Source organism: Homo sapiens, chromosome 3 (assembly GCF_000001405.40).
Source record: "Homo sapiens chromosome 3, GRCh38.p14 Primary Assembly".
NCBI classification, from domain to species: domain Eukaryota; kingdom Metazoa; phylum Chordata; class Mammalia; order Primates; family Hominidae; genus Homo; species Homo sapiens.
The window spans coordinates 121,214,658-121,240,793 of NC_000003.12; the positions used below are offsets into that span (position 1 = coordinate 121,214,658).

Below are 26,136 nucleotides of genomic sequence, written 5' to 3' on the forward strand. Positions count from 1 at the left end.
CACTGAGAAGAATGTATATTCTGTTGATTTGTGGTGCAGAGTTCTGTAGATGTCTATTAGGTCCACTTGGTCCAGAGCTGAGTTCAAGTCCTGAATAGCCTTGTTAATTTTTTGTCTCATTGACCTGTCTAATATTGACAGTGGGGAGTTAAAGTCTCCCACTATTATTGTGTGGGAGTCTAAGTTTTTTTTTGTTGGTCTCTAAGAACTTACTTTATGAATCTGGGTGCTCCTGTATTGGTTGCATATATATTTAGGATAGTTACCTCTTCTTCTTGCATTGATCCCTTTACCATTATGTAATGCCCTTGTTTGTCTTTTTTGATCTTTGTTTAAGACTGTTTTATCAGAGATTAGGATTGCAACCCCTGCTTTTTTTTTTCTTTCCATTTGCTTGGTAAACAGTTCTCCATCCTTTTATTGTTAGCCTATGTGTGTCTTTGCACATAAGATGGGTCTCCGTAATACAGCACACTGATGGGTCTTGACTCTTTATCCAATTTGCCAGTCTGCGTCTTTTAACTGGGGCATTTAGCCCACTTACATTTAAGGTTAATATTGTTATGTGTAAATTTGATCCTGTCATTATGACACTAGCTGGTTATTTTGCCCATTAGTTGTTGCAGTTTCTTCATAGTGTCTATGGTCTTTACAATATGGTATGTTTTTGCAATGGCTAGTACCAGTTTTTTGTTTCCAAATTTAGTACTTTCATCAGGAGCTCTTGTAAGGCAGGCCTTGTGGTGGCAAAATCTCTCAGCATTTGCTTGTCTGTAAAGGATTTTATTTCCCCTTCACTTATGAAGCTTAGTTTGGCTGGATATGAAATTCTGGTTTGAAAATTCTTTTCTTTAATAGTGTTGAATATTGGCCCCAACTTTTTTATGGCTTGTAGGGTTTCTGCAGAGAGAACTGGTTTAGTCTGATGGGCTTCCCTTTGTAGGTAACCCGACCTTTCTCTCTGGCTGCCCTTAACATTTTTTCCTTCATCTCAACTTTAGTGAATCTGACGATTATGTGTCTTGAGGTTGCTCTTCTCTAGGAGTATCTTTATGATATTCTCTTTATTTTCTGAATTTGAATGTTGGCTTGTCTTGCTAGGTTGGGGAAGTTCTCCTGGATAATATCCTGAAGAGTGTTTTCCAACTCTGTTCCATTCTCCCTGTCACTTTCAAGTACACCAATCAAACATAGGTTTGGTCTTTTCACATAGTTACATATTTCTTGGAGGCTTTGTTCATTCCTTTTCATTCTTTTTTCTCTAATGTTTTCTTCATGCTTTATTTCATTAAGTTGATATTCAATCTCTGATATCCTTTCTTTCACTTATCAATTTGGCTATTGATACTTGTGTATGCTTCATGTGCTATGTTTTTCAGCTCCAAGGTCATTTATCTTCTTCTCTAAACTGGTTATTCTAGTTAGTAGTTCCTCTAACCTTTTTTCAAGGTTCTTAGCTTCCTTGCATTGGGTTAGAACATGCTCCTTTAGCTCAGAGGATTTTGTTATTACCCACCTCTGAAGCCTACATCTTTCAATTCATCAAACTCATTCTCCATCCAGTTTTGTTCCCTTGCTGGTGAGGAGTTGTGATCCTTTGGAGGAGAGGCTTTCTGGTTTTTGGAAGTTTCAGCCTTTTTATACTTTTTTGTCTCATCTTCATGGATTTATTTACCTTTGGTCTTGGTGACCTTCGGATGGGGTTTTTGTGTGGATGTCCTTTTTGTTGATGTTGATGCTATTCCTTTCTGTTTGTCAGTTTTCCTTCTAACAGTCAGGCCCCTCTGCTGCAGTTTTGCTAGAGTTTGCTGAAGGTTCACTCCAGACCCTCTTTGCCTGGTTATCACCACGGGAGTCTGCAGAACAGGAAAGATTGCTGCCTGTTCCTTCCTCTGGAAGCTTCGTCTTAGAGGGACACCCACCAGATGCCAGCTGGAGCTCTCCTGTATGTGGTGTCTGTCGATCACTGCTGGGTTGTGTCTCCCAATCAGGAGGCATGGGTGTCAAGGGCCCACTTGAAGAGGCTGTCTGTCCCTTAGCAGAGCTCGAGCACTGTGCTGGGAGATCTGCTGCTCTCTTCAGAGTCAGCAGGCAGGAATGTTTAAGTCGGCTTAAGCTGCGCCCACAGCCACCCCTCCGCCAGGTGCTCTGTCCAAGGGAGATGGGAGTTTTATCTATAAGCCCTGACTGGGGCTGCTGCCTGTCTTTCAGAGATGCCCTGCCCAGAGAGGAGGAATCTAGGGAAGCCCTCTGGCTACAGCCTCTTTGTGGAGCTGTGGTGGGCTCTGTCCAGGTCGAACTTCCTGGTGGCTTTGTTTATACTGTCAGGGCAATACCACCTACTCAAGCCTCAGTAATGGTGACGCCCCTCCCCCAACCAAGCTGGCACTTCCCAGATCGACCTCAGACTGCCGTGCTGGCAGCGAGAATTTCAAACCAGTGGATCTTAGCTTGCTATGCTCTGTGGGGTTGGGATCCACTGAGCTAGACCACTTGGCTCCCTGGCTTCAGCCCCCTTTCCTGGGAAGTGAATGGTTCTGTCTTGCTGGCATTCCAGGTGCCAGCGAGGTATGAAAAGAAACTCCTTCAGCTAGCTCGGTGTCTGCCCAAATGGCTTCCCAGTTTTGCATTTTAAACCCAGGGCCCTGATGACGTAGGCACTGGAGGGAATCTCCTTGTCTGCGGGTTGCGAAGACCATGGGAAAAGCGTGGTATATGGGCCAGAATGCACTGTTCCTCACAGCACAGTCCCTCATGGCTTCCCTTGGCTAGGGGAGGAAGTTCTTCAACCCCTTGCACTTCCCGGGTGAGGTGATGCCCCACCCTGCTTCTGCTCACCCTCCGTGGTCTGCACCCACTGTCTAATCATTCCCAGTTCCATGAGCTGGGTACCTCCATTGGAAATGCAGAAATCACTTCCTTCTGTGTTGATGTCGCTGGGAGCTGCAGACCAGAGCTGTTCCTATTTGGCCATCTTGCTAGCCCAGATTCCGCTTCACTTTCATATATTTTTAAAAATCTTTTCTCTTTCCTTCAGTTTTGAGCCATGAGGATTTCTTATAATCTTTATTGTGTTATCTACTAGTATCCAATCTTTGATTTTCTGTAGACTAAGAAACTTGAAAGCCAAACTTGTAAAATGAGAGCAAATAGATCCATATAATGCCTGAGAGGTTCTTCCATGACAATGTATACATGCCTGGACTTTATGACGTCTATTTTATTGCTTGGAGGTCTTTACAATTTGTATTTCTGTTGGATTCTCAACAGTATTCAGCTTAATTCAGTTAAAACAACATTTAGTAGTTACTACTATAGTTTAGTAGCTATTACTATATAATATATAGTATAATATATATACTATAGTATAATATACTATATAATATACTATATATAATATATATACACTATATACAGTATATAATATAATATATAGTATAATATATAATATACTATATAGTATAATATAATATGTAGTATAATGTAATGTAATATATAGTAATAATATACTATACTATATATAGTATGATATAGTATATATATTACTATATACTATACATAGTATAATATAGTATATATATTACTATATACTATACATAGTATAATATAGTATATATATTACTATATACTATACATAGTATAATATAGTATATATATTACTATATACTACTAGCTTATATATAATATACTATATATGCTAGTATAATATACTATATAATATATAGTATATAGTATTATTTAGTAGTTATTACTATATTACTAAACAAATGCGATTTGTTTGATGTTCTGAAATAAGATTACTGCTTGCTTTTGAATTTGTTATATTCTAGCAGTAGAGGCAAGGACATAAACTAGTGATTTCCATACAACATGGAAGTTACTTTTATAGAGATATGCTATGGGAGCACACAAAAAGAGCACCTAACCCAGCCTTGAAGGGAGTAGGGAGGAGAACCATGAAGAGAGAAATCAGGAAAATTCTTTGGCAAGGAGATGCCTGAGATGGGACTTTAAGGATGATCAGATGTTGCCAAGCAAAGGGAGGAAGAGATGAAAGTGAAGAGAACATATTTTTAGAAATCAAAAACTCAAGTTAAGGCAGTGTAAAGTAATAATTAAAATCATTGGCTTTGAAGTAAGACAGTTGTGTGACCTTGCAAAGTTTAATTAACTCTCTTAAAGTTTAGTTTCCTTATCAACAATACCTGTCTCACTATGATATTCATGAGAATTAAATGAAATAATGGATACAGCCTGTAATGTCGTCAGTTTGATGAAGACACATAGTGGGTTTCTTAGTAGTTACTATTATTATTGACATCATTATTTCATGTAGTTAAAATTATTCAAGTATTCTTAATTTTTTGCTAGTCAATAATACAACTATGTGTAAATTAATCTTCATATTTGTAATGTGAAACAATCATATTATTGATGATAATTACTGTCATCCCACCTACTTGTGTACATTAGTACATTGCTTCTGTTTTTTGTGATTACTACTTTATTACCTCTGGAGCTTAGCACACAAGGAGGTTAAAAAGCAGAGGGGCAGTGAGGTTAAGAATACTAAAATTTATTGCCACAGCAAAATGGGCCACAGTTAGGAAGTGGAATTATATAGCTATATCCCTGCTCCAACTATTACACGGCAGAAACTGTACAGTTATAAGTCAGGATGGCTGTCACAGAAACAGGAACCTTAGGAAGAGCTCTACCATATAAGCTGCAGCAGTAGGGTCTCTTACTGGACTGCATAGGTAGCACATGTAAGGGATGTGTTTTCTTCTCGGTTTTATGTCAGACCAGCCAATCGCAGACTTGCTTTACATTTCCAGAGATAAACAGCTATGTATATGGGAATCATTTATCCCCAATCACCAATTTGCTTACTGACACTCCAACTAAGATGGCCTCTAGGCTTAATAATTTTATCCTCTTCAAGATAGGAATATTGATTTATATACTGACTACCACTAGAATTATTAGGTGCTCTTAAGCTAAAGAAAATTATTTTCTGCTAATCTTTTAATCTGTTCCTATTACGGCAGCCTACTGATAGGCTTTATGTATAATTAAGTTCTCCAAGCCTCAATATACCCATCTGTTAAATGGAGATAATAATAGTAGTTATCTCATTGGGATGTTATAAGGATTAAATAAAAGAATGCATGTAAAATTCTGCATGCGATGCCTAGAATATCATAAATACTCAATATATGTTAGCATTTAATATTTATTATGTTACACAACTTGTTTAATCTTGTTGCCTTCATTGGAACAAACTTTTAATGCTGTTTTCTGTATGTATTTTACAAATTATACATACAGTAAAATTAACTATTTTTCTTTTGGTGTACAGTTTCATGTTTTAAACACATGTATGATTTCTAAAACTATCACCACAATAAAAATAAAGAATATTTCCATCATTTCCCACAACTCTCACTTTCTGTCCCTTTATAGTCACTCCTCTCCCCAACTCCTAACCCTTGGCAACCACTGATTTGTTCTCCATCACTATAGTTTTGCCTTTTGGAGACTGTTACATATAAGTGGTTATATATTATGTAACCTTTTAAGCCTAGCTTCTTTCACTCAGCAGAATGCCTTTGAGATTCATCCAAGTTATGTATCCATAATTTGTTATTTTTTATTAATGCTTTCTTTAAGTATGAGGACATTTCAAGTATATGGTCATTTATTTCTTTTATAAGAATCCATCTGATAGGTATCCCTTAATAGAATCTTTGTATTAAATAACACCTGACACAGTTTAGGCTGGTACAACATTTAGTGTGGTACAGCATTATCAAACAACTGTGTTCCTTTAATCACTAATGATATTCATGCAATAAAAAGGATCTGTAATCTAATAAATGTGAGAAATTTTGAATTCTATAAAAGTAAATTGGATTGCTTGCCATATGATTTCTCAGAATTTTTAACATATGCTATGAAATGCAAAATTCCTGAAAGGAGATATGGTTTTGCAAGTGCAAATTATCAAATTATCAAAATTAATTTTTTTCTGCTCGACAACTACCAAGTTGTATTCCACAGTTTGGGAAACATTAAACTAAAAATGAAAAATGTGGGCTTTTGAGTCTGGGTTTGAATCTTTGTCCTGGTACTCACTAGCTGCTTGACCCTGGACAAGTTTAATCTGCATTAATCCCAGATTATTCATGTATAAAATGGGACTAATAGTACTTTCTTCATCAAGGTTGTTGTGAGGATTACACAAAATTTACTTTATATATACACATAGCACAATATATGCCACATGGTAAGCACTCAGTAAATGGTAGCTATTTATTACTAGAGGCAATATATAGGAGTGTTTAGAATCATAGGCTTTGGAGTCTGGTAGATCTCAATTTTCTTTTGGTTGTTGCTTCTTAGCTGTTATTTAACCTCATTAATAAAATGAGGACATTGCTTATGAGGATTAAAGATGATAATTAAATATTTAGTACAGTTAACCATGAGTGGTTCCCTGAGCACTTTCCTGAGGAAATAACTTTTTATTCAGTCACTCAGTAGTTTATAGAGAAATGCATATATATTAACAACTAACTTCAGACCCAGAGTATTCTGATGCAGAGTCGTAATTAGAGCAGAAGAGGTTTTACTTCCTTTCAATATTAGAGAGGACATATTTCCAATGTATATACAAAAAAGCAGGGGGGGTAAATTGCTCCTTATCCTATGCTTGGATTAGTATTAGGGGATGAGAGTAAATTCACCTACTTTTACACAGGAAAAAAATAGATACGTATGGCCTTTATTAATATTAATAGTAGGTAGTTAAGCTTAATATTATTATTAATATTATGAAAAGATACTACATTCTCTTAAGTCGTGGCCTTTTTTTGCAAAACAGAGCAAAAAACAAAGGTAAAAACCCCCACACTATTTCATAAATAACTATATTAGAAATGCTTTTTAAATCTGGATAAATCTTATTAATAATATAAATATACATTTTATAGAAATAACAAATGTGCTTTTTAATGGCACCATTAGTAGGTTGGTCATTTACCATATCAAATCACTGGTGCAAGACTATTACTCAAATCAACTGAAGTAAAATAAGTTAGAGTATTTTTGTTTATTTTGCTTATAACTCAAATATTTATGTCAGAATACTGATAGAATTATAAATAGAAAATAATACACACATTTTATATGTATGTTTGTATAGAAGCTTTGTTAAAAAAAAAACCCTTTTTGGTTATATAGCCAGCATAAGATTAGTAAATGTCCCACTGATAATGTTTGGCGCCACACACAGTACAAAACGGAAGAGAAAAGGAAATCTTACAGAGCGATTTCTAGAAACAAGTAGATTCTTCAGCTTAGCAAATAGGATGTAAGTGAATTATGTAGATGAGCATTATATTCTCAAATAATTTGATACAATAAAAGCCTCTAGGTCTTTAAAAAAATTAGAAAAGAATATTTTCAATTTGGTATTTACTTCTTACTTCTTGAAAATATTTTTTGCTAACACACTTTTTCTTTTGTACACATACACTAGAGATATGTAAGTATTGATTTGAGAAATGAAAAATGAAAAACTGTGAAATGACTTCATAATTTTCAGATAGCTATAATGTTTTAGAGGAATCTTAACCCCACTCTATTATCTAATTATATCTTATAAAGCAACAGACCAAAAATCTTGTTTAAAGTTAGTTGAGCAAGATATATGGAGTTTATACTGATCTATAGACTGGCCACAAGTAAAATAGAAAAGGCAATTTATCTTTGATTAGCTATCCTTCTCTTACATATTAGCTTTCTCCATCTTTTTATCTTTACTCTTTTTTCACAGAAACTCCATTATCTAGAATTCTTATTTTACCCTCTGCCATTCTGAGCTTTCCACTGTCACATTTCATTTTATATTAAAATTTGTCTCTTTTCTCTTGTACAGATTTTAGGCCCCATAGGCCAGCTAATTAATCTGATATTCTGACATAGACTAATATTCCAATGATAGTGATTTAGAGTTTGGGAACCAAGTAAAGTACGTGAAGATGTCCTTTTGAGAGTCAGTGAGCACATCTACCTTCCTCCAAGCTCACTGCCTTTCCCCAAACCTACCCCAATATGTTTAGACTGGTCCATTAGTAAATTTAATGTGAGAATGTACATCTAGAAAGTGGGAAATGGTAGAATAGTAGGTTATTGAATGAGAAATTTTGAGCCGGGCAAGTTTTTTGCTGTCTGTCATGTTATATGGTATGCAACAAAACCTGTTCTTTATAGGTTCAGTCCTGTGACTTTGTGTCATTTTAAAGGACTTCTGAGTCTCATTCATGTTTTTTCCTATGTAGCGAACCATTCATAATATTCTCTGGTGGGCTGTCCTATGACAAAGCTTGTAGAAGACCAAGTTTAACCATCATGCATGGAAAAGCAATTACAGTACTTGAAATGGATCATCCTATTGTTGAATTTCTAACTTTATGTGAAACGCCCTATCCAAATGGTAAGTAACTAAAATGAAACTATTAATGTTGAAAATCATTTTGGAAATGACAAGTTTCTAACAAAATTAAGGTTAAATATTTTCAGATGTCTACTGTGGTATAACGCTGTGAGCTACAAGTGCTGGAACAGGTTCTGCAACTGTACCTACTTGAGAAACTGGAAATAACACAGATGTAGTACAGCAATGCTGGCATTTCAGGTTCTAATATCAGGTAAGTGCTTTAAACTTTGATTAGATGGTGGAAGCTGAGCTGGGAGGGTCTGATAAGGGTCCAGGGTGAAATCACTTGGGGAAGCTGAGGTCTCTTAATAGCCTCTCTCAGACCAGCTCCATCAATTCCATCCCAAAGCCAATCAAAGTTAAAGCACTTACCTGATATCAGTAATCTGTAACTGTGGTGGTGCTGCATCTGTTTCACATCTGGCTTTGCTTCAGATGCAACTGCAGCACCTCTGATTACTCTAGTAATGCAGATGTGTGGTTAATGACTTTTTAAAATTTTGAGAATAGTCAGAAGGGACTTTGGGAGGAGAAATGCTTATATATTTTTATTATACTGAATATAAAGACTTTTTGTAAACATAACAACTAGTCTAAACTTATATGCAATCTGTATAATGAAATCTAATAATGATGAAATATTTTAATAATGTGGCCAGGTGTGGTGACTCATGCCTGTAATCCCAGCACTTTGAGAGGCCAAGGCAGGCAGATCGTTTGAGTCCAGGAGTTCAAGACTGGCCTGGGCAACATAATGAGATTCCATCTCAAACAAATAAATAGATAAATAAATAAATAAATCTAAAAAGTGAGAAAAGTGAAAACATAAAAAAGGAAATATGAGTCATGTTACAACAACATAGTATGTGTGTATACATTACTATATTTTTAAGACAGAATATGCAGATATAAGAGAAAGAGCACTGGACTTGGGGACAGAATATGTGAGGTTATGATTTAGCTCTGCCACTTACTAGCTAGGTGACCTTGGGCAAGTCACTTTACATTTATTAGTTTTATTTATCGTTTGTAGAAAGAGAATAGTAATATGGTCTCCACATGACTACTGGAAGGTTAAGTGAGCATACTTCTTAAACTATAAAAATATATATGTTGTGAGTTCCACTATTATATGTATTAACTTACTTTAAATTATTTAGTCTCACATTTAAAAGATGGGATAAATTGATATTAAATAATAATCAATGTAGCACTTTATTTCCAAAGTTACTAGGACAGACAATTTACTTATGTTTTTAATTGTCAAATAATTATTGAATCATTCTATGGCCCCAGTACTACAAGAACTTGTTGAGCATACAGATAAAGTATTAAACTAATCTCTGATGTCAAATTGCATAAAATCTGGTCAGATGAGTGAGATTATTATGACTTGTTAAGTTTAAGTAATGAAAGACCTTAATTAAGTGCTGAGTTGTATGGTTCAGAGTATAAATAATGTATTAATTTTTAAGTTAAATAGTCGTGGTTTCATGCATAGTAATAGCAGTTTTTGGAAAGAGAGAAAGGTAAGTCTGATTATGAGAGAGTAGAGTTGTTTAGGGAACAGAAGAAGAGAGAAACTGTCTTACAATATTTATGAATCATCAGAATATAAGTGTTTTTTGGAGTTACAAAAATGAATAATGAAAGAATGTAGGAAGAGAGAACAGAAGACCAACAGCTGAGCTTAGGAAAATGCCTCCTATGAAAAGCCTTGAGGAAGAAGATGTGTGAGCAATAGAAATTGAGAATGTGTGGTCTGTGTGTATATAAATTTCTGCACGTTGGTAGAGATGTTAGGACAATTTCTAATAAGGTTCAATGAAGCATAAATGCAATGTAACCATTCCTATTCACTTTCAAGCCATATATAAAAATCTTTGTTTTTTAGCAATGTGGTAATGAGGATGGAACTTTTCACTTGTCAAAAGCTAGGAGATGTACTTTAACTCTATTGACAGTGCCGGAAAGGTTTCTGACCATATATCCACCTCAAGCAGAACCTAGTCCAAACCAGGACCCCAGAAACTTTCCTAATCTAGCTCCTTCATTAGAGGATTATTCTCCATGTAAATCACATCCTTGAGTACATCCCCAGCTGTAATCTCTGGGATTATCATTGGTGTTGGATTGTGCCCCAGGACTCTCGGGGCACAATTGGTAGCTCGTGGAGAGGAGGGTGAGCACTGTTAGTGAGGCCAACTCGAGAGATGAGAATTAGGGTAAAAGCCATTTCTGAGGCCAGATCTCCTGGTGAGATAACACTAATATTATTTCACCCTTTTTGGGAGAAGGAAATATGGACCTGGCAGATTTGTACAAAATTCTTTCCCAGGAGCTGTACGGAGGCCAATGGGACAAGCAGAAATGACTGCCAATGAGGAGTCCTAATTGGAAGGGGATCAGTAAAGATTAGAGACTACCACAAATGTGTTGGCTACCCTGACCACCTAGATGAATTTAGAACTCTACAAAGGAACATTGAAAGCATGCCAGGGTTAAGGAGGACTAAAGAAAGGGCCTTGGGCCATGGCAGGCTAAATGCCACACCACAAATCTTTGCCAATTGGGCTTTTATTATTCCCTTGGTCTGTTTCACCAGTCCAGAGGACTAGAGGTGGTAAGCACAATGGAGATGTTGATAAATAGGCCAAATTATACAAATGTTTTCAATAATTTGCCCTGTAAAATGAGTTCCTCGTGCATTATGAAGCCCTTGAGAGACTTCTCAGGTTGGTATAAATTTTCCAACAGGGCCTTAGCTACTGCCATGGCTATGGCCTGTTGACAATAGAAGGCTTCAATGCAATGCTAAAACATGTAAACTGTAACTAGTACATACTGATATCCTTGAGAGACAGGGAGCTGAAAAAAATATTGTTGCCGTGCCTCAAAGGGACTTTTTGGTAATGTGAAGTGGTCCATGAAGCCACGAAATGGTTTTCCAATATGGTATTGTGGATATATTTCACACAGATACTAAGGTTGTGAGCTATCCCAAGGCATGCTTGCCATCTGTATAAATAATTGGCTGTTTTACCTTTGGCTAAAAGACATGTCTAGTAAGAGCATGCAGTTCTGCCTGTTGGACAGACCTGACATCAGGAAAGATAAGTAAAGTGGCAGAATTAAGCAAGTTATATTGGGTCATGGTAAGGGGAGGTGAGGATAGAAAAAGAACTGCATAGTTTGCTAGACTCTTTGTGATGTGAATTGAGGAGAGCCCCATTAGAGTGTGGAATACAGACAGTGAGGGGGGCCCCGTTACTATTTTCATTGTGGCTTTTACAAAAGAAGAGACAACATCAACTTCTTTGAGACAAGGAGACTATAGTATCCTATGGGTACGGTTTGTGTCCAATTCTGATATTTTAATTCACCTAGTTGGTTAGATTTTAAAAGGGGAAATCCCCTGAATGTCCCGAGAGCATCCCTAGTCTGGACTGGGGAAAGAGGGCTAGGGGACTCCATCAGGATTTAGTTATAACCAAATGTTAGAGGATCTTAGGAGAATTCAGAATCTAGTCCAGTCTATAGCCAAATAACAAGGACTTTAGGGCAATGCACAATGTTACAATCTAATAACAGATACAATTTTGCTTTTCTTAGAAGCATAACTTTTCCTCTCCACATTGATCATATAAGAAATCTCAGCTATTAGAACCTCTTGAAGCTAGATGGCCAGACCAAGTCAGGCATTAGATTTTACTTATAGTCTTAAGGTTCTTGGGCCTACCAGGAAGTGATAGTTTTTACTTACTCACTGTAAAACTAGGAACTCTTGAAGACAAGCATTTTAGGCACATTTTTACATATAACATTTCAGTTCATACCTTGGTAATATAACCAATGTTCCCAATTGTATCCTGCTTTCAAGAGAGATAAGATTTTTATTTAACTTATATAAATAAAAATAAGAATATTCATTTATAGCTTCTGAATTTTAAGGAATCAAGTAGGGAGAAAAAGCAAATGCTTCCACCTTTGTTCAATAGAGGATACTTTACCAAAATATTGCAAGCTATAGATAGCTTATGTCAGAAAATTTCCTTGAATTTGGAAAACAAAACATTTAAGCAACAAAAACATTATCCTTATCAATTACTTAATTTCATTTAAATAATTCTGTTTGGTTGGCCAGGTGCAGTGGCTCACACCTGTAATCCCAGCACTTTGGGAGGCTGTGTGGGAGAATAGCTTGAGCTCAGGATTTCAAGACCAGCCTGCACAACATAGCAAGATCTGTCTCTACTAAAAGTCAAAAAAATTATCTGGGTGTAGTGGTACACGCCTGTAGTCTTAGCTACTCCAGAGGCTGAGGTAGGAGGATCAAGCTTGAGCCCAGGAGATGGAAGCTGCAGCGATCTATGATTGCACCACTGTACTCCAGCCTGGGGAACAGAGTAAGACTGTTTCAAAAAATTTTTTTTTCTTTATTTTGATTAGCAATTTTGGACTATAGCCCATTGCAAATACTTCTAGAGAATTTAAAACAATAACTGTGGATGACAAAAACCCAGAACAATCATAGCCAAAGATATGATGAGAATTTCCAATTGACAAGGCAATTTAGATATTTTGGTGGCATACAATCATTTAACATAATAATCATTATTATGGCACATATCTTGGCATATCAGAATTTTATACAATTTTACACTTTTTAATAAAGCCACAAATATAACTTAAGGGAAGTTAAACACCATTCATAATTTGACAGCACTTCCTGTATTATTTACCAAATAAACCTAATCATTTAATATCTGTACAAGATGAGAGATAAACCCTTTGAGGCTCTTCAGGGGGCCTATGTGGAAAATTGTAAAATTAATTTTAGGCCAAAAGGCTTAACTTAAGATTTGGGTCCTGGAGAGACCTGCCAAAGATGTTAAAAATTTCAAAAACTACTTTCTTTAATAGAATGGTGTTCACTGCTAAATAATAGTTACTTATTCAACCAAAGTAAGAGTAAAAATCAGAAGATTTCAAAAGCAATACAGAAAGTTACATGGATGTAAAAACCTTAACCCTTGTAAAGTTCAGTTTTCTGAAGTAGTCAAAACCCAACAAGGACAGCATGAAGTACAGGAAGTTTCCTTGGTAAAACACAGAATCTGTGTTTCCTAGGCTCATATATTCCTTGAGCAAGGAATATGTGGTTCTTAGCAAGAGCATATGAAGTTCTGGTTACATAAAATAATTCAGACACATAAAGAAAAGCCAAGAGTACTCAATCAAGTTATACCGAGTAAAACATTGCTTTTCTGGACCTTCAGGATAAAAGTAAAACCAGAGAAACTAGGTAGTTCTCAGGAAGAAATGTGACAGAAATAGAAATTTGTTTGTAATTCAGAGGATGGTTGTTAAACACATTTCAGAATTAAAAATCAAAACCTCTTGCAATCTTACTAAAAGCAATTGAACCTTTGTTGGCTGGGTGCAGTGGCTCATGCCTGTAATCCCAACACTTTGGGAGGCTGAGGCAGTGGATGGCCTGAGGTCAGGAGTTCAAGACCAGCCTGGCCAACATGGTGAAACCCCCGTCTCTACTAAAAATACAAAAATCAGCTGGGTGAGGTGGCACACATCTGTAATCCCAGCTACTCGGGAGGCTGAGGCAGAAGAATCGCTTGAACCTGAAAGGTGGAAGTTCCAGTGAGCCGAGATCATGCCACTGCACTCCAACCTGGGCGATAGAGTGAGACTCCGTCTCAGAAAAGAAAAGAAGAAAAGAAAAGAAAGGAAACCTTTGTTGTTTTAACATAGGTGACCAGATTTTTAAACTTTGTATCAGTGTATTTTAACATCAAAGTTTATTCTTTAGAAAGACTGTCACAAATAATTTCTTTTAATTATAGCCAGCTTAATCACACCCAGAATTTCCTTCATAAGTTCCCATTCATGAACCTTATCATGATTTACTCAGACCATCTATGGATTACTGAGACACCCTGCCTCACTCTATACTTCCTCTTTCTTCTTAAGTAACCAGTTATATCGCTCTAGGAAAAAGATTTACCATGCAAGACTATCTCATGCAAAATTATTCTCTTATCTTTACATCTATAACTCTCCTTACATCTCTTTCTGTCTCTACTATTTACAGTTCCTTTCTATCTTGTTTCTATTTCCTTCCTAAATCCACATTTTGACACTCCCTTTAGATAACCTTTGAATTAGAAAAAGTTATTTTTTCTCAATAAAAGACATTTTTTTCTCTTATTAAACACACCTTACTTTGGCATACTTTATATACAGAATTATATATCAATTGGAATTTTTAGCTTCTGGTAACCTTAAATTTTATTAAAAACATAGGAAACACAAAATCTTGATTTGCCTGTTACATATCATTATTTAACAGATAACAACCATTTTATTTTTATTATTTTTCATTTTTTTACTTTTTAGAGACAGGGTCTTGCCCTTTTGCCCAGGCTAGAGTGCAGTGGCATGATCATGGCTCACTGCAGCCTCAAACTCCTGGGCTCAAGCAATCCTCTCACCTCAGCCCCCCAAGTAGCTGAAACTCCAAGTGTATGTCACCATACCTGGCTAATTATTTTATTTTTTTGTAGAGATGTCTTGCCTTGTTACCCAGGGTGGTCTCAAACTTCTGGCCTCAAACAATCCTCCCACCTTAGCTTCCCAAAGTGCTGAGAGTATAGGCTTGAGTCACCATGCTTGGCCAAGAGCCATTTTATAATTGTCAGAAAAACGTGTTTCCCTATAACATATTTTTATGCATATTTAGTCTTTCTCTTAGTATTTCTAGTCTTTCTATTAAATTTAAGAAGCCAAGGACAACCCTATTTATGTTCAGCAGTTTGTTTCAGTTTTTATCGTATTTGAAAATGACTTGTACATTTAATGAGTCATCTATTATTTAATTTAGGATTTCAAATTACATAAAAATTTATAGCTATTTATCCCATTTACCTTTATTTATTTATTTTAGCAGTGTGCTGAGATTACTTATGAAAACTGAGATAATAGACAAACTAGTCATCATTCCAAATTATTTATCTATTACTTATTTTATACAACTGCATATCAGGCAAATATTATAAAAGTAATGACCTTAAAGTCAAATAATTCAGAGGACACAGGCATTCCCATCAAATCAACAACCTTAGACTAGTCCCATTTGCCAAAAGATTTCTAAGTCAAATGTGAACTTGAAAAGTGCCTGGTCTTATTTGCTTAATTTATGAGTACTCATCTATTTATAAGCCAATTTGGTACCATAGACAAATACAACCAGACTTGTACATGCAGCCAGATACAAGTCTGGTTGTATTTGTCTATATCGGGCAAATATTATAAAAGTAATGACCTTAAAGTCAAATAATTCAGAGGACACAGGCATTCCCATCAAATCAACAATCTTAGACTAGTCCCATTTGCCAAAAGATTTCTAAGTCAAACATGAATTTGAAAAGTTCCTGGTCTTATTTGCTTAATTTATGAATACTCATCTATTTATAAGCCAATTTGGTACCATAGACAAATACAACCAGACTTGTACATGCAGCCAGATACAAATAATGATCAAGCTTTAAATAAAGCTTTAGCCATATGTCAGGCATAACTCACTAGTTAAAAGGGATAGTTAGATTCAAACTTCGTCACTGTTAAACTAACAATTTTAGTTTAAATTTTTCTGTTCCACGTGGCTGAAGCCCCTTACTGAATTTTAGAGAAACCAGAGTAGCAAAGTAGTCGGGCGGACCGGCAGGAAGAGAGGAGCTAGTTGAAGAAGGTTAGCTCTAGAATCAATTAGAAAGCCAATAAGTCTCTTTTCTACATTAGATTACCTAAGGTTCCTAGATCATAGAGGATCCCCAGTCCCATTATTTTTAATCACTATCAGAAACTGGTATCTGGTGGGCTGATTAATGGGCAGCTTCTTTCTCTACCTGCCAGGATGATTAGGGCACTCCCATTTCCAATGGTCCTCTTGTTTATAATATGCACATTGTGGCCTCAAGAGTGTACGGCCATTTTGGCCAGCAGTGGGGTCCCTAAGGGTCTTACCCATGGCCATTTGTTTTTCCTAGCATGCTCCATCTTGTGCCTCGACTGGTGGTGGCCAAGAGCCACAGCAAGCAGCATAGCTTGTTGTCTCATGTCGCATTGCTTTTGCCCTTCCTGGACTTGAATAAGATGATTAAATGCCTTAAAAGCAATCTCGACTACTGGAGATATTGATATTCCCAACACCTTTTCTACTTTTTGTAGTTTTCCTCTTATGCCAGGGGCACTGTGACTGATAAAACTCTCAGGTTACCTGGATGTTCGGGGTTAATGTCAGTGTATTGCCTGAAGGCTTTAAGGACCACAAGAAAGGAAGAAGCATTTTCTTTGGCCACTGTTGTACCTTTATGGCTTGTGCTGCTGGAGTCCTGCTACAATTAACATTCCCCATTTTGCTTGGAAGTTTATCTCAGATGGCTAGAGCAAGGCCCTGCACTAGAAAGAGATATATATATTTTGGGTCTGCAATGTGGTACTTATGGAGATTCCTTCCCAGTGAATCACCCAATGGGTTGGGTATCCTCTAGTCTCCTAGGAGTACCTAAAAGGGCTGGAGGGAGCAATGTAGTCCCTCTATTAAATAATTTTCTAATTAGGCTGTTTCTGTGCCATCAAAATATTAACTGCTGCTTAAGCCAAATATTACTGCTCATATCAGAATACAAACAGAAACAGAAAAAGCCAATCAAACAAGACAAACCACAGCATTTTGGACTCTGAGTTTGATCCACTCAAAGGGAGCAAACAGACAAGGCTCAAACTTGTCCCTGCAAGCTTCAGACATCTTTAGTCCATTCTGGATGGGGAAGGTTGACCTCCAGCCAATAATCAAGCAAATAATTTACTCAGTCTAGTTGACTGGAACAGACAGCGACCCTGAGTCAGGCCTCCTTGGCTGCCACTGGCAGCTCCTTCAGGGTTTGCTGAGTGGTCTTAACAACATAAACAAGTGACTAGACAAACCCTAAACTTGACACATATACATATACACATCCAAGTTCCAAGTTCCCAGTCAAGTTCCTAGTCAAATTTATAATCGAGTGCCACGTGAACATACCCCCTTATTCTTCTTTCAATCAAAGTTGAAATCCCCTAACAAAGCCCCCTTGTGGAGGTTGACAAGGCTCCCTAGTGGAAGTTGATAAGAAAGGAGCTGAGAGTTGGTCACTTGTACAGAGATTAATTCACCACAAAATAAAAATAAAAAAGAGGAAAAAAAATGTGTTCCAAAATTCAAAACTTCTTTTTGCTGCAAAAATGAAAGTAAAAGCACCAAAAGTCAGCAGGGCCATGCTGGGGAGACAGGAACCAAGAGTAAATCACTGAGTAAAACACCTGGACAGCTGCTCAGACCCTCAAGTGGATCCCATCCCTGATATGGAGCTGGTGAGCCACAGTCAAAACTGTCCTGAAAGGATTTAGAGAAGTCCGATTTGGGTCACCAACTTTGTTATTGAACTAAACTGGGTCCATTTGCCCATGCACAATGGAAAGCCAAACACTGAAGCAGCAGGTTTTTGCAGCAAGAAAGGTTTATCATGAGTGAACTGGCAAGGAGACAGATGTCAAATCTGTCTCCCCAAGCTGGGGATTGAGGAAGGTTTTATAGTCAGCGCGTAATAAGTCATGATCTGATTGGATCTTGCCATAGGATGATGCCAGGAGGTATGCTCTGACTGGATCCTTCCCTGGTGTGATACCAGGGCTCTATCTGATCGGATCCTGCAGCCTACCATGCAATGTATGCTTCTTAATTTTAGTCCCTGTTCCTTGTTCTGGGCACTTAGGTTCTACCTGTGGTTGCATGCTTTGTTTATCTTGGCATGTTCAGGTTACGTGGCCTTCAATCTGGGAGTCCATGGCAACTGAAGAGCTTTGTTATGTAAAAGTTGAACCAGATTGATATGATATGGTTACACAACCTATAAATATATTTCAAATTACATTGAATTGAAAGTAAACTTTTTATTATAAGCAGTGTTGCTCTTATACAGATGTGAATGTATGTCATATCCCAGAGAAGCAGAGATACTATTCCCTCAGTACATCTCCTTGTAGGCATAAAATCAGATCTAAAATACAAAGGTTATGGAAGAATAAGATAAATGTTTGTGAGATCAGGTGACAGATTCACTGTCTTCACATAATCCAATATTATCATCACTCCATGATTATTGAGATATATTTATACTATGCTACTTTTAATTTTTTTCTTGTTCTTTCTAGTGATCTTAATATTAAATTTGAGAAGCACAACTTTTTTTAAGTGCTCTTTGTTACTTCTTACTTTGGCTTATAGTTTGGTCTTCTCACATCATTTAAATAATATTTGTATAGGGATAAAGGAAATGCAATTTTGCTGATTTTATAGTATATACAATATGAAAACTTTTCATTTTTTATTTTTACTTGTAGAATTTCAAGAACCCTATGCTGTCGTGGTACTTCTGGAGAAAGATCTCATTGTAGTTGATCTGACACAAAGCAAGTAAGTTATCCATGTACAGATTAACACTTTTAAACTCTATTTATTTTAGATTATTGGCATTTGTATTCTTTTGATAGGAAGTATTCTTTGTGTGAATATTGGTTTGCTAGAATTACAGAAATGCACTTTGGTTCAATGGTGAAAATTAAACCAGAGGAATTTGGGAAACACTGAGAAAATTGTGAGACAACTTAAAGGCAGCACCTGATGTTTGGACAGAAGCATTGGAGACTCAGGACACATAAAATTGATCACATTTTTGTTGTTTCCTTAAAGAAAATCAATCATTATGAAAACTTGTACAATGTGATAGCTGAGTAATGGAAAATGACACATGATAGAAGTATTATTGCACTACTGCTGCAGACAACACAGAAGACCAGAATCTCAGGGGCAGAGAAGACAGGGGCCTTCTTTTACTTTTATTCCTTTTTCATTATGTCACAGGCAATTGAAACAACTGTAGAATAATGCTATAATAGTGGTGCTCTCCACTCCTTTACATTGTCAGTAAAAATCTAACTGTACATTTTTATTATAATGGTAATAGCATGAAACTAATTTCCATCATTGTATGTTCTTCGCCCACTGATCTTTTAGCCTCATATATTTGTAACACAATTTTGTAAGTTGTCTCTCCTTGGCCTGGAATGACTTTCTCTTCATTTTTTCTTCTTATTAATATCTGTAAGATTCTCAAGTCAGATATCACTTCCTTATTTAAAAAAATTCATTATCTATATAATTTGGCCACATATTCTAGTATGGGCTCTCATACCCCCCACATTTCTCTCTTCATAGCTTTTGACACAGATACAATTTTCTATTTGCTGTTGCTTAAAGATTGTCTCCCCACTAGGCTGTAGGCTCCATGAAGGAGGGGCTCTGTCTCCACATGGAGTCAGCTCTCAATAAATTTTTGTTGAATAAATCAGTCCAAATTCTACTCTTCAAGTTGTTTGTAAATGTAAGATCCAGGGTTCTTCCTCATACTAATTTGCAGATATTGTTCTCGGTGTTTGGAAAGGGATGTAGGATTTGGGCCATTAAATCATCATAACTGGGAATTCTGCTTAGCTGCCCTATTTATCAACATTAACACTTTTTGGGTAGATGTAAGGATTTATGCTTATTCTTCTAAGAAGTTCTAATATGAGTCTTATTAAAACATACTCTTCTAATCTCATTGGTACTCAACTCGTCTTTCTACGTCATATTTGTTGGTTACTCGTACTTTGTCTAAGTATCTAACATCTTTGCAGGCCCATTATACTTTACCTTTCATGCCCACTTTCTTCAGTATATATATATATATTTTTTTATTTAAATTTTGTTTTATTGTGATAGACTATGTATAACATAAAAGTTACCATTTTATGTATACATACATTCTTGTGCTTTTCATTACCCTATATAAGTATGTGAATTAACATTTTGTTTGCAAGTTTTCATCTAACATTTACCTTCTTTAGCATGTATTAAAATCTATGTGGCATTCCCATTTCATTGGTTATTACATGAAATTTAACATGTCAAAAACTGAGTATGTTCTCTTTCCTTCCAAATGGTTACCTCTCAGCTATACTGAATGTTAAACAAGTTGTAACTTTGGAATCTCTTTCAATTTTTTTCTTTTTATCTTTTTCTTTCCATTTAATCCCCAACCCGAAGGCAAGCATTAGGGTTTACAAATTATTTCTATTCTTGATTTCTTTATGTCTAAATTCCTCTAGTAAGTTTTTAGTTATTATTTCTCTTTTTAATATCTTTTTGCCTACTCTTTGCCAATGTACTAAAACAATTTTTCTCAAAAATTTTCTCAATATTTCACTTTGTCAGGAGCCTATTATCGTTACCTCTTGCTATTATCAAATTCTAAATTGTAGGCCTGGTCTTCAAGGGGTCCATTTATCTTCTAACTCTGTAATCTTAGAAATATTAATAATTTCTACTCTGAAACAGAGAATCTCTGATATATCTAGTTTAACCTCTGGTACCTCTAGTTTAACCTACTTGTCCCTTAACTAGACATGAGTTTTTCCTTTACCTGATTTTGCATATATAACTATTCTTATTTGGGATACTATCTGCAACATTTCAGATTGGTGGAAAGAGAACTCCTGCCAGAACACACACACACACACACACACACATACACACACACACACACACACACTATATTCTCTGGAGATTGGACTAAACTCCTAATTTTTAATTAAGTTCCTAATAATATGGCAAAAAACTGTTTTGTAACAAGCACCTCCTACCCTAAAAAAACACAGTGTGTCAGAAGTTATAGGATGACACAGACCTGGAACAGATATAGCATAGAATAATACTAATTTCCTCCTAGTACAGTGCCTTGTACATATGATGTTCTAAATAGCTACAGGAATTTTAAATTTGATTCTGAACTCATTTCCTTTTTAAGGTTATAGTAGGCTTGAGGATATGAAAGTTATTACATCCATAAGTCTTTATTCCAACTATGTTCTCTAGTTTACATAGGAAATGATCTTTTAGATATACACAGTCACATACACACAAACCTACATATGACACACATCTTTTCATTATTCCTGCAAAAAAATTTAAAAGTTTCCTATATATTACCTCTTTGTCTTAGTCCCTTTTATATTGTTATAAAGGAATACTCAAGGCTAGATAATTTATAAAGAAAAATTATTTGTTTGGCTCACAATTCTGATGTCTGGAAAGTCCAAGGTTGAGTGTCTGCCTCTGTTGAGGGTCTCAGGCTGTTTCTACTCATCTCAGAACGTGAAGGGAAGTCAGAGTGTGCAGAAATCACATGGTGAGAAAGAAGGCAAGAGAGAGAGGGGACAGGTTTCAGGCTTTTTTAAACAACCAGCTCTCATGGGAACGAAGAGTGGGAACTCGTCCTTAAGGGAAGACATTAATCTATTCATGAGGAATCTGCCCCTGTGAAGGGGAAAGACATCCCGATCATAGCATTCTTCACCTGAATCCCCAAAACTCATGTCCTCACATAAAAGATACAATCATTCTTTTCCAATAGTCTCAAAAGTCTTAATTCATTTTAACATCCATTCAAAAGTTCAAAGTCCGAAGTCTCATCTGAGACACAAAGTAAGTTACTTTCAGCTGTAAGCTTATAAAATATGAAACAAGTTCTTTACTTCCAAGGTAAAAATGGTTGTATAGGTATTGGGTAAACATTTCCATTCCAGTAGGAAGGCGTAACAAGTCTCATGTAGCTTTAAAACACAGCAGAGTAGACATTAAATCTTAAAGCTCCAAAATAATTTTCTTTGACTCCATGTCCTGCATCCTGGGAACATTGGTGCAAGGGGTGGGCTCCCAAGGCCTTGGCAGTCCTGTCCCCATGTTTTTGCTGTGCACAGCCCATGTGGCTTTCATATGTTGGAGTTGAATGCCTGAGGCTTTTCCAGACTGAGGTTGCACACTGCTGGCGGCTCTGCCTATGTGGCAGGTTTCAGCATGGGCACCCAGGCTTTTTGATATATCCTCTGATATCTAGGGGGCAGCTGCCAAGCCTCCATGGCTCTTGTGTTCTGGGTGCCTGCAGACTTAACACCATGTGGATGCCACCAAAGCTATGGCTTGTGCCCTCTGGAGCAGCAACCCCAGCAGTAGCTGGGTCCATTTGAGCCATAGTGGGAGCTGGAGTTGTAGGGATGTGAGGAACAGTGACCCAAAGGGGCACAGGGCAGTGGTGCCCTAGGCCTGTCCCCCAAAACCATTCTGTTCTCCTAGGCTCCTGTGATTGTGATGGGATGGGTGGCCTCAAAGATTTCTGAAATGCCTTTTGTCCATTGTCTTGACTATTAATACCTTGCTCTCTTACTGGTCATGCTAATCTCTTTAGGAAGTAGTTGCTTAGATTCCTCTCCTGAAAACACTCTTTTCTTTACTACCACATGGCCAGGCTGCAAATTTTTCAAATGTTAATGCTCGTGTCCCTTTTAATTATAGATTCTTCCTTTAGGTGATTCCATTGTGGACATAATTTAGTGTAAGCTGTTAAAAGTAACAATGCCACTTCTTGAGCACTTTGCTGCTTAGAATTTTTTTCTTCCAGATACTCTAGGTCATCGCTCTTAAGATTAGCCTTCCATAATGCAGCCAAATTCTCTGCTACAGTGCAACAATGCAGCCAGGTTCTTTGCTACAGTGCAACAATGGGGATATTTGCTCCAGTTCCAATAAGTTCCTAATTTCTGTCTGAGACCTCATTAGCATAGCCTTTTCTGCCCATATTTCTGTCAGTATTTTGGTCACAACTACTTAACCAATCTCTAAGAAGTTCCAAACTTTCCCTCATCTTTTTATCTTCTGAGCTCTCCAAACTCTTCCAACCTCTACCCATCACTCATTTCTAAAGTGCTTCCACAATTTCAGTTATCTTTATAGCAACACCGCGCTCCTTAGTACTAATTTTCTGTCTTAGTCTGTTTTGTGTTACTAAAAGGAATACCTGAAGCTAGTAATTTATTTTTTTTCAAAAAAAATGTTTATTTTGTTTACAAGATTGGGCATCTGTATGTGGTGAGAACCTGAGCTGTTTTCACTCATGGTGAAAGGTGAAGCGGGGCTGAGCTGGTGTGTGCAGAGATTACATGATGAAAGAAGAAACAAGTGAGAAGGAGAAGGCTCCAGGCTCTTTTTAACAACCAGCTCTCACAGGAACAAAAAGGGAGAACTCATTCACCTCCAAGACAGGACATTAATCAATTCATGAAGGATCTGCCCCATAAGCCAAACACCTCTCATTAGGCTCCACCTCCAACACTGGGGACTAAATTTCAAGATGAGGTTTGGAGGGGACAAACATCCAAACCATAGCACTCCCATTGAAAGAAAGTCAAAATTTACTTATATTTTAATATTTATAAGGATACTAAATAAATATTTACCAATGTATATAGGTAAAGTGCTTGGTTTATTTTTAATGAATTAACTAAGTAAACTTGTTATATAATAGTTTCAGATTAATAGAATTCATTGTATCTATATTAGCAAAGCAATGCCACTGTGGAATGTTAGAATTATGAGAAGTAAATTTTGAGCTTGAGTAAAATTTTACTAGTATTAATATTACATTTTATAAATTACTATTACAAAAAGAGCATTTTTGTTCATACAATTCTTGTTTTATGGTACTTAAAAAACAAGCAAAATTTATAGTGATGTTTAGAGACATTTTAGGGCTTACTTTATCAAAATTATTTTCTGTTTTTTTCTTTGTAAAATAACACTGATATATTGTCTTTATCTATTAGTTTTCCAATCTTTGAAAATCCATATCCCATGGACATTCATGAATCACCAGTTACATGCACAGCATACTTTGCAGATTGTCCTCCGGATTTGATTCTAGTACTGTATTCTATAGGAGTCAAGCATAAAAAACAAGGATACAGTAATAAGGTAAAAGTAGAAATTATAAATAACTTTTTTTGTATTCATATCACATGATCATACTTTTTTCCATTACTTTATTTTCTTACATTCCATATAGGAGGACTTAACTAAATTCTTTTTAAGTTATAAGCCAACATCTATTAAATACATAACTTCTTAAATTCAAATTTTCTAAATGCTACATAGCTTTAAGCCTATAGAAATATAATTTCTTATACAGAAGGTATATAATTATATACTAAGATATACTTATCTAGTATGTACATTTATATACTAAGTATGTACTTATACTAATATATATTTGAGTCATAAGATGTAACCTTTATTTTAGATGAAAAAATATGTTTAAATGTCCAACAATGATAGATTGGATTAAGAAAATGTGGCACATATACACCATGGAATACTATGCAGCCAGAAAAAAGATGAGTTCATGTCCTTTGTAGGGACATGGATGAAATTGGAAAGCATCATTCTCAGTAAACTATCGCAAGAACAAAAAACCAAACACCTCATATTCTCACTCATAGGTGGGAATTGAACAATGAGAACACATGGACACAGGAAGGGGAACATCACACTCTGGGGACTGTTGTGGGGTGGGGGGAGGGGGGAGGGATAGCATTGGGAGATATACCTAATGCTAGATGACGAGTTAGTGGGTGCAGCGCACCAGCATGGCACATGTATACATATGTAACTAACCTGCGCATTGTGCACATGTACCCTAAAACTTAAAGTATAATAATAATAAATAAAATAAAATAAAATAAAGAAAATAAAAAGACTCAGGTCTTCCTAGTTTATAATTAATTAATGGTTTAGGAAACATAATTATTAAAAGTTATTTGTTAAATAACATTCTAGAATTTTTTATTATAGTTTACTACAAGATTCAACTATTTACAATTGTAACAGATTATCTATTATGATTTCTATTATTCTCCCAGGGCTCTTGGGATGGACAACTTCAAGAGACACTATTTACATAGCTTCTATGTTAAATGGCACCACAGTAGTTTGGTGGTACACAGACTATATGATGCATGTAGCAACACTGTATTTGTACAATTAAAAATACTTCTTTGATTTGTTTATATAAATGGTAAGATTGATTAAAATCTATATTTTTAAGGGAGATGGAATTGTGCATTTAGAGGTGTTTGTTCAATGAAAGAATTAAAAGACAGCTACACACTTCATTCTTGATGATTTTACACTTATTTTTCTTTAAGTGAGCTTTTTATCATTATTTTAAGCTATTTTCATTTTAAATTTCTAAGCCATTTAAACATGTATATATATTCTTTCTGGATAATCTGTTTAGGAGTGGCCAATCAGTGGAGGAGCTTGGAACCTTGGAGCACAAACATATCCAGAAATTATTATTACTGGGTAAGTAGATGTGTTTTGTGAGTTATTAGTTCATCAACAAAAAGATGTTTACTGAGTCTTGATACTTTTCCATAATTGTGTTCTATGCAGAATAATAGTTTAAGTAAAAGTAAAAATATAAGAAATAGCTTCTACCCAAAGATTCTCATCTTGACAGAGGATATAATCAAACCATTGGAAACATAATAACAGAAAAGAAAGCATAGATTATATCACCAGGAGAAGGTCAAAGTTGGGAAGTCATGAGATATTAGTCTTCATGGAAATCACAGAATATTAGCTTTAC

The 26,136-nt window shown here is 36.0% G+C and overlaps 1 protein-coding gene across 15 annotated transcripts in view; it reads left to right on the forward strand.

The window, feature by feature from the left end:
- Positions 1 to 26,136, forward strand: part of STXBP5L (syntaxin binding protein 5L) — a 516,557-nt gene that overhangs the window by 306,453 nt on the left and 183,968 nt on the right. For 13 of the 15 annotated variants that reach the window (XR_924217.3, XR_001740373.2, NM_014980.3 and 10 more), the window contains 4 exons: positions 8,346 to 8,500; positions 18,959 to 19,031; positions 24,314 to 24,461; positions 25,783 to 25,850. Coding sequence is in view for 11 of the 15 variants with exons in the window: in NM_014980.3 (NP_055795.1) it covers positions 8,346 to 8,500; positions 18,959 to 19,031; positions 24,314 to 24,461; positions 25,783 to 25,850 (444 nt within the window). In the remaining 4 variants the exon portion in view is untranslated. Of the gene's footprint in view, positions 1 to 8,345; positions 8,501 to 8,586; positions 8,715 to 18,958; positions 19,032 to 24,313; positions 24,462 to 25,782; positions 25,851 to 26,136 lie in introns of those variants that run through there. The other 2 variants (NR_145516.2, XM_011513332.2) reach the window with 2 other exon arrangements.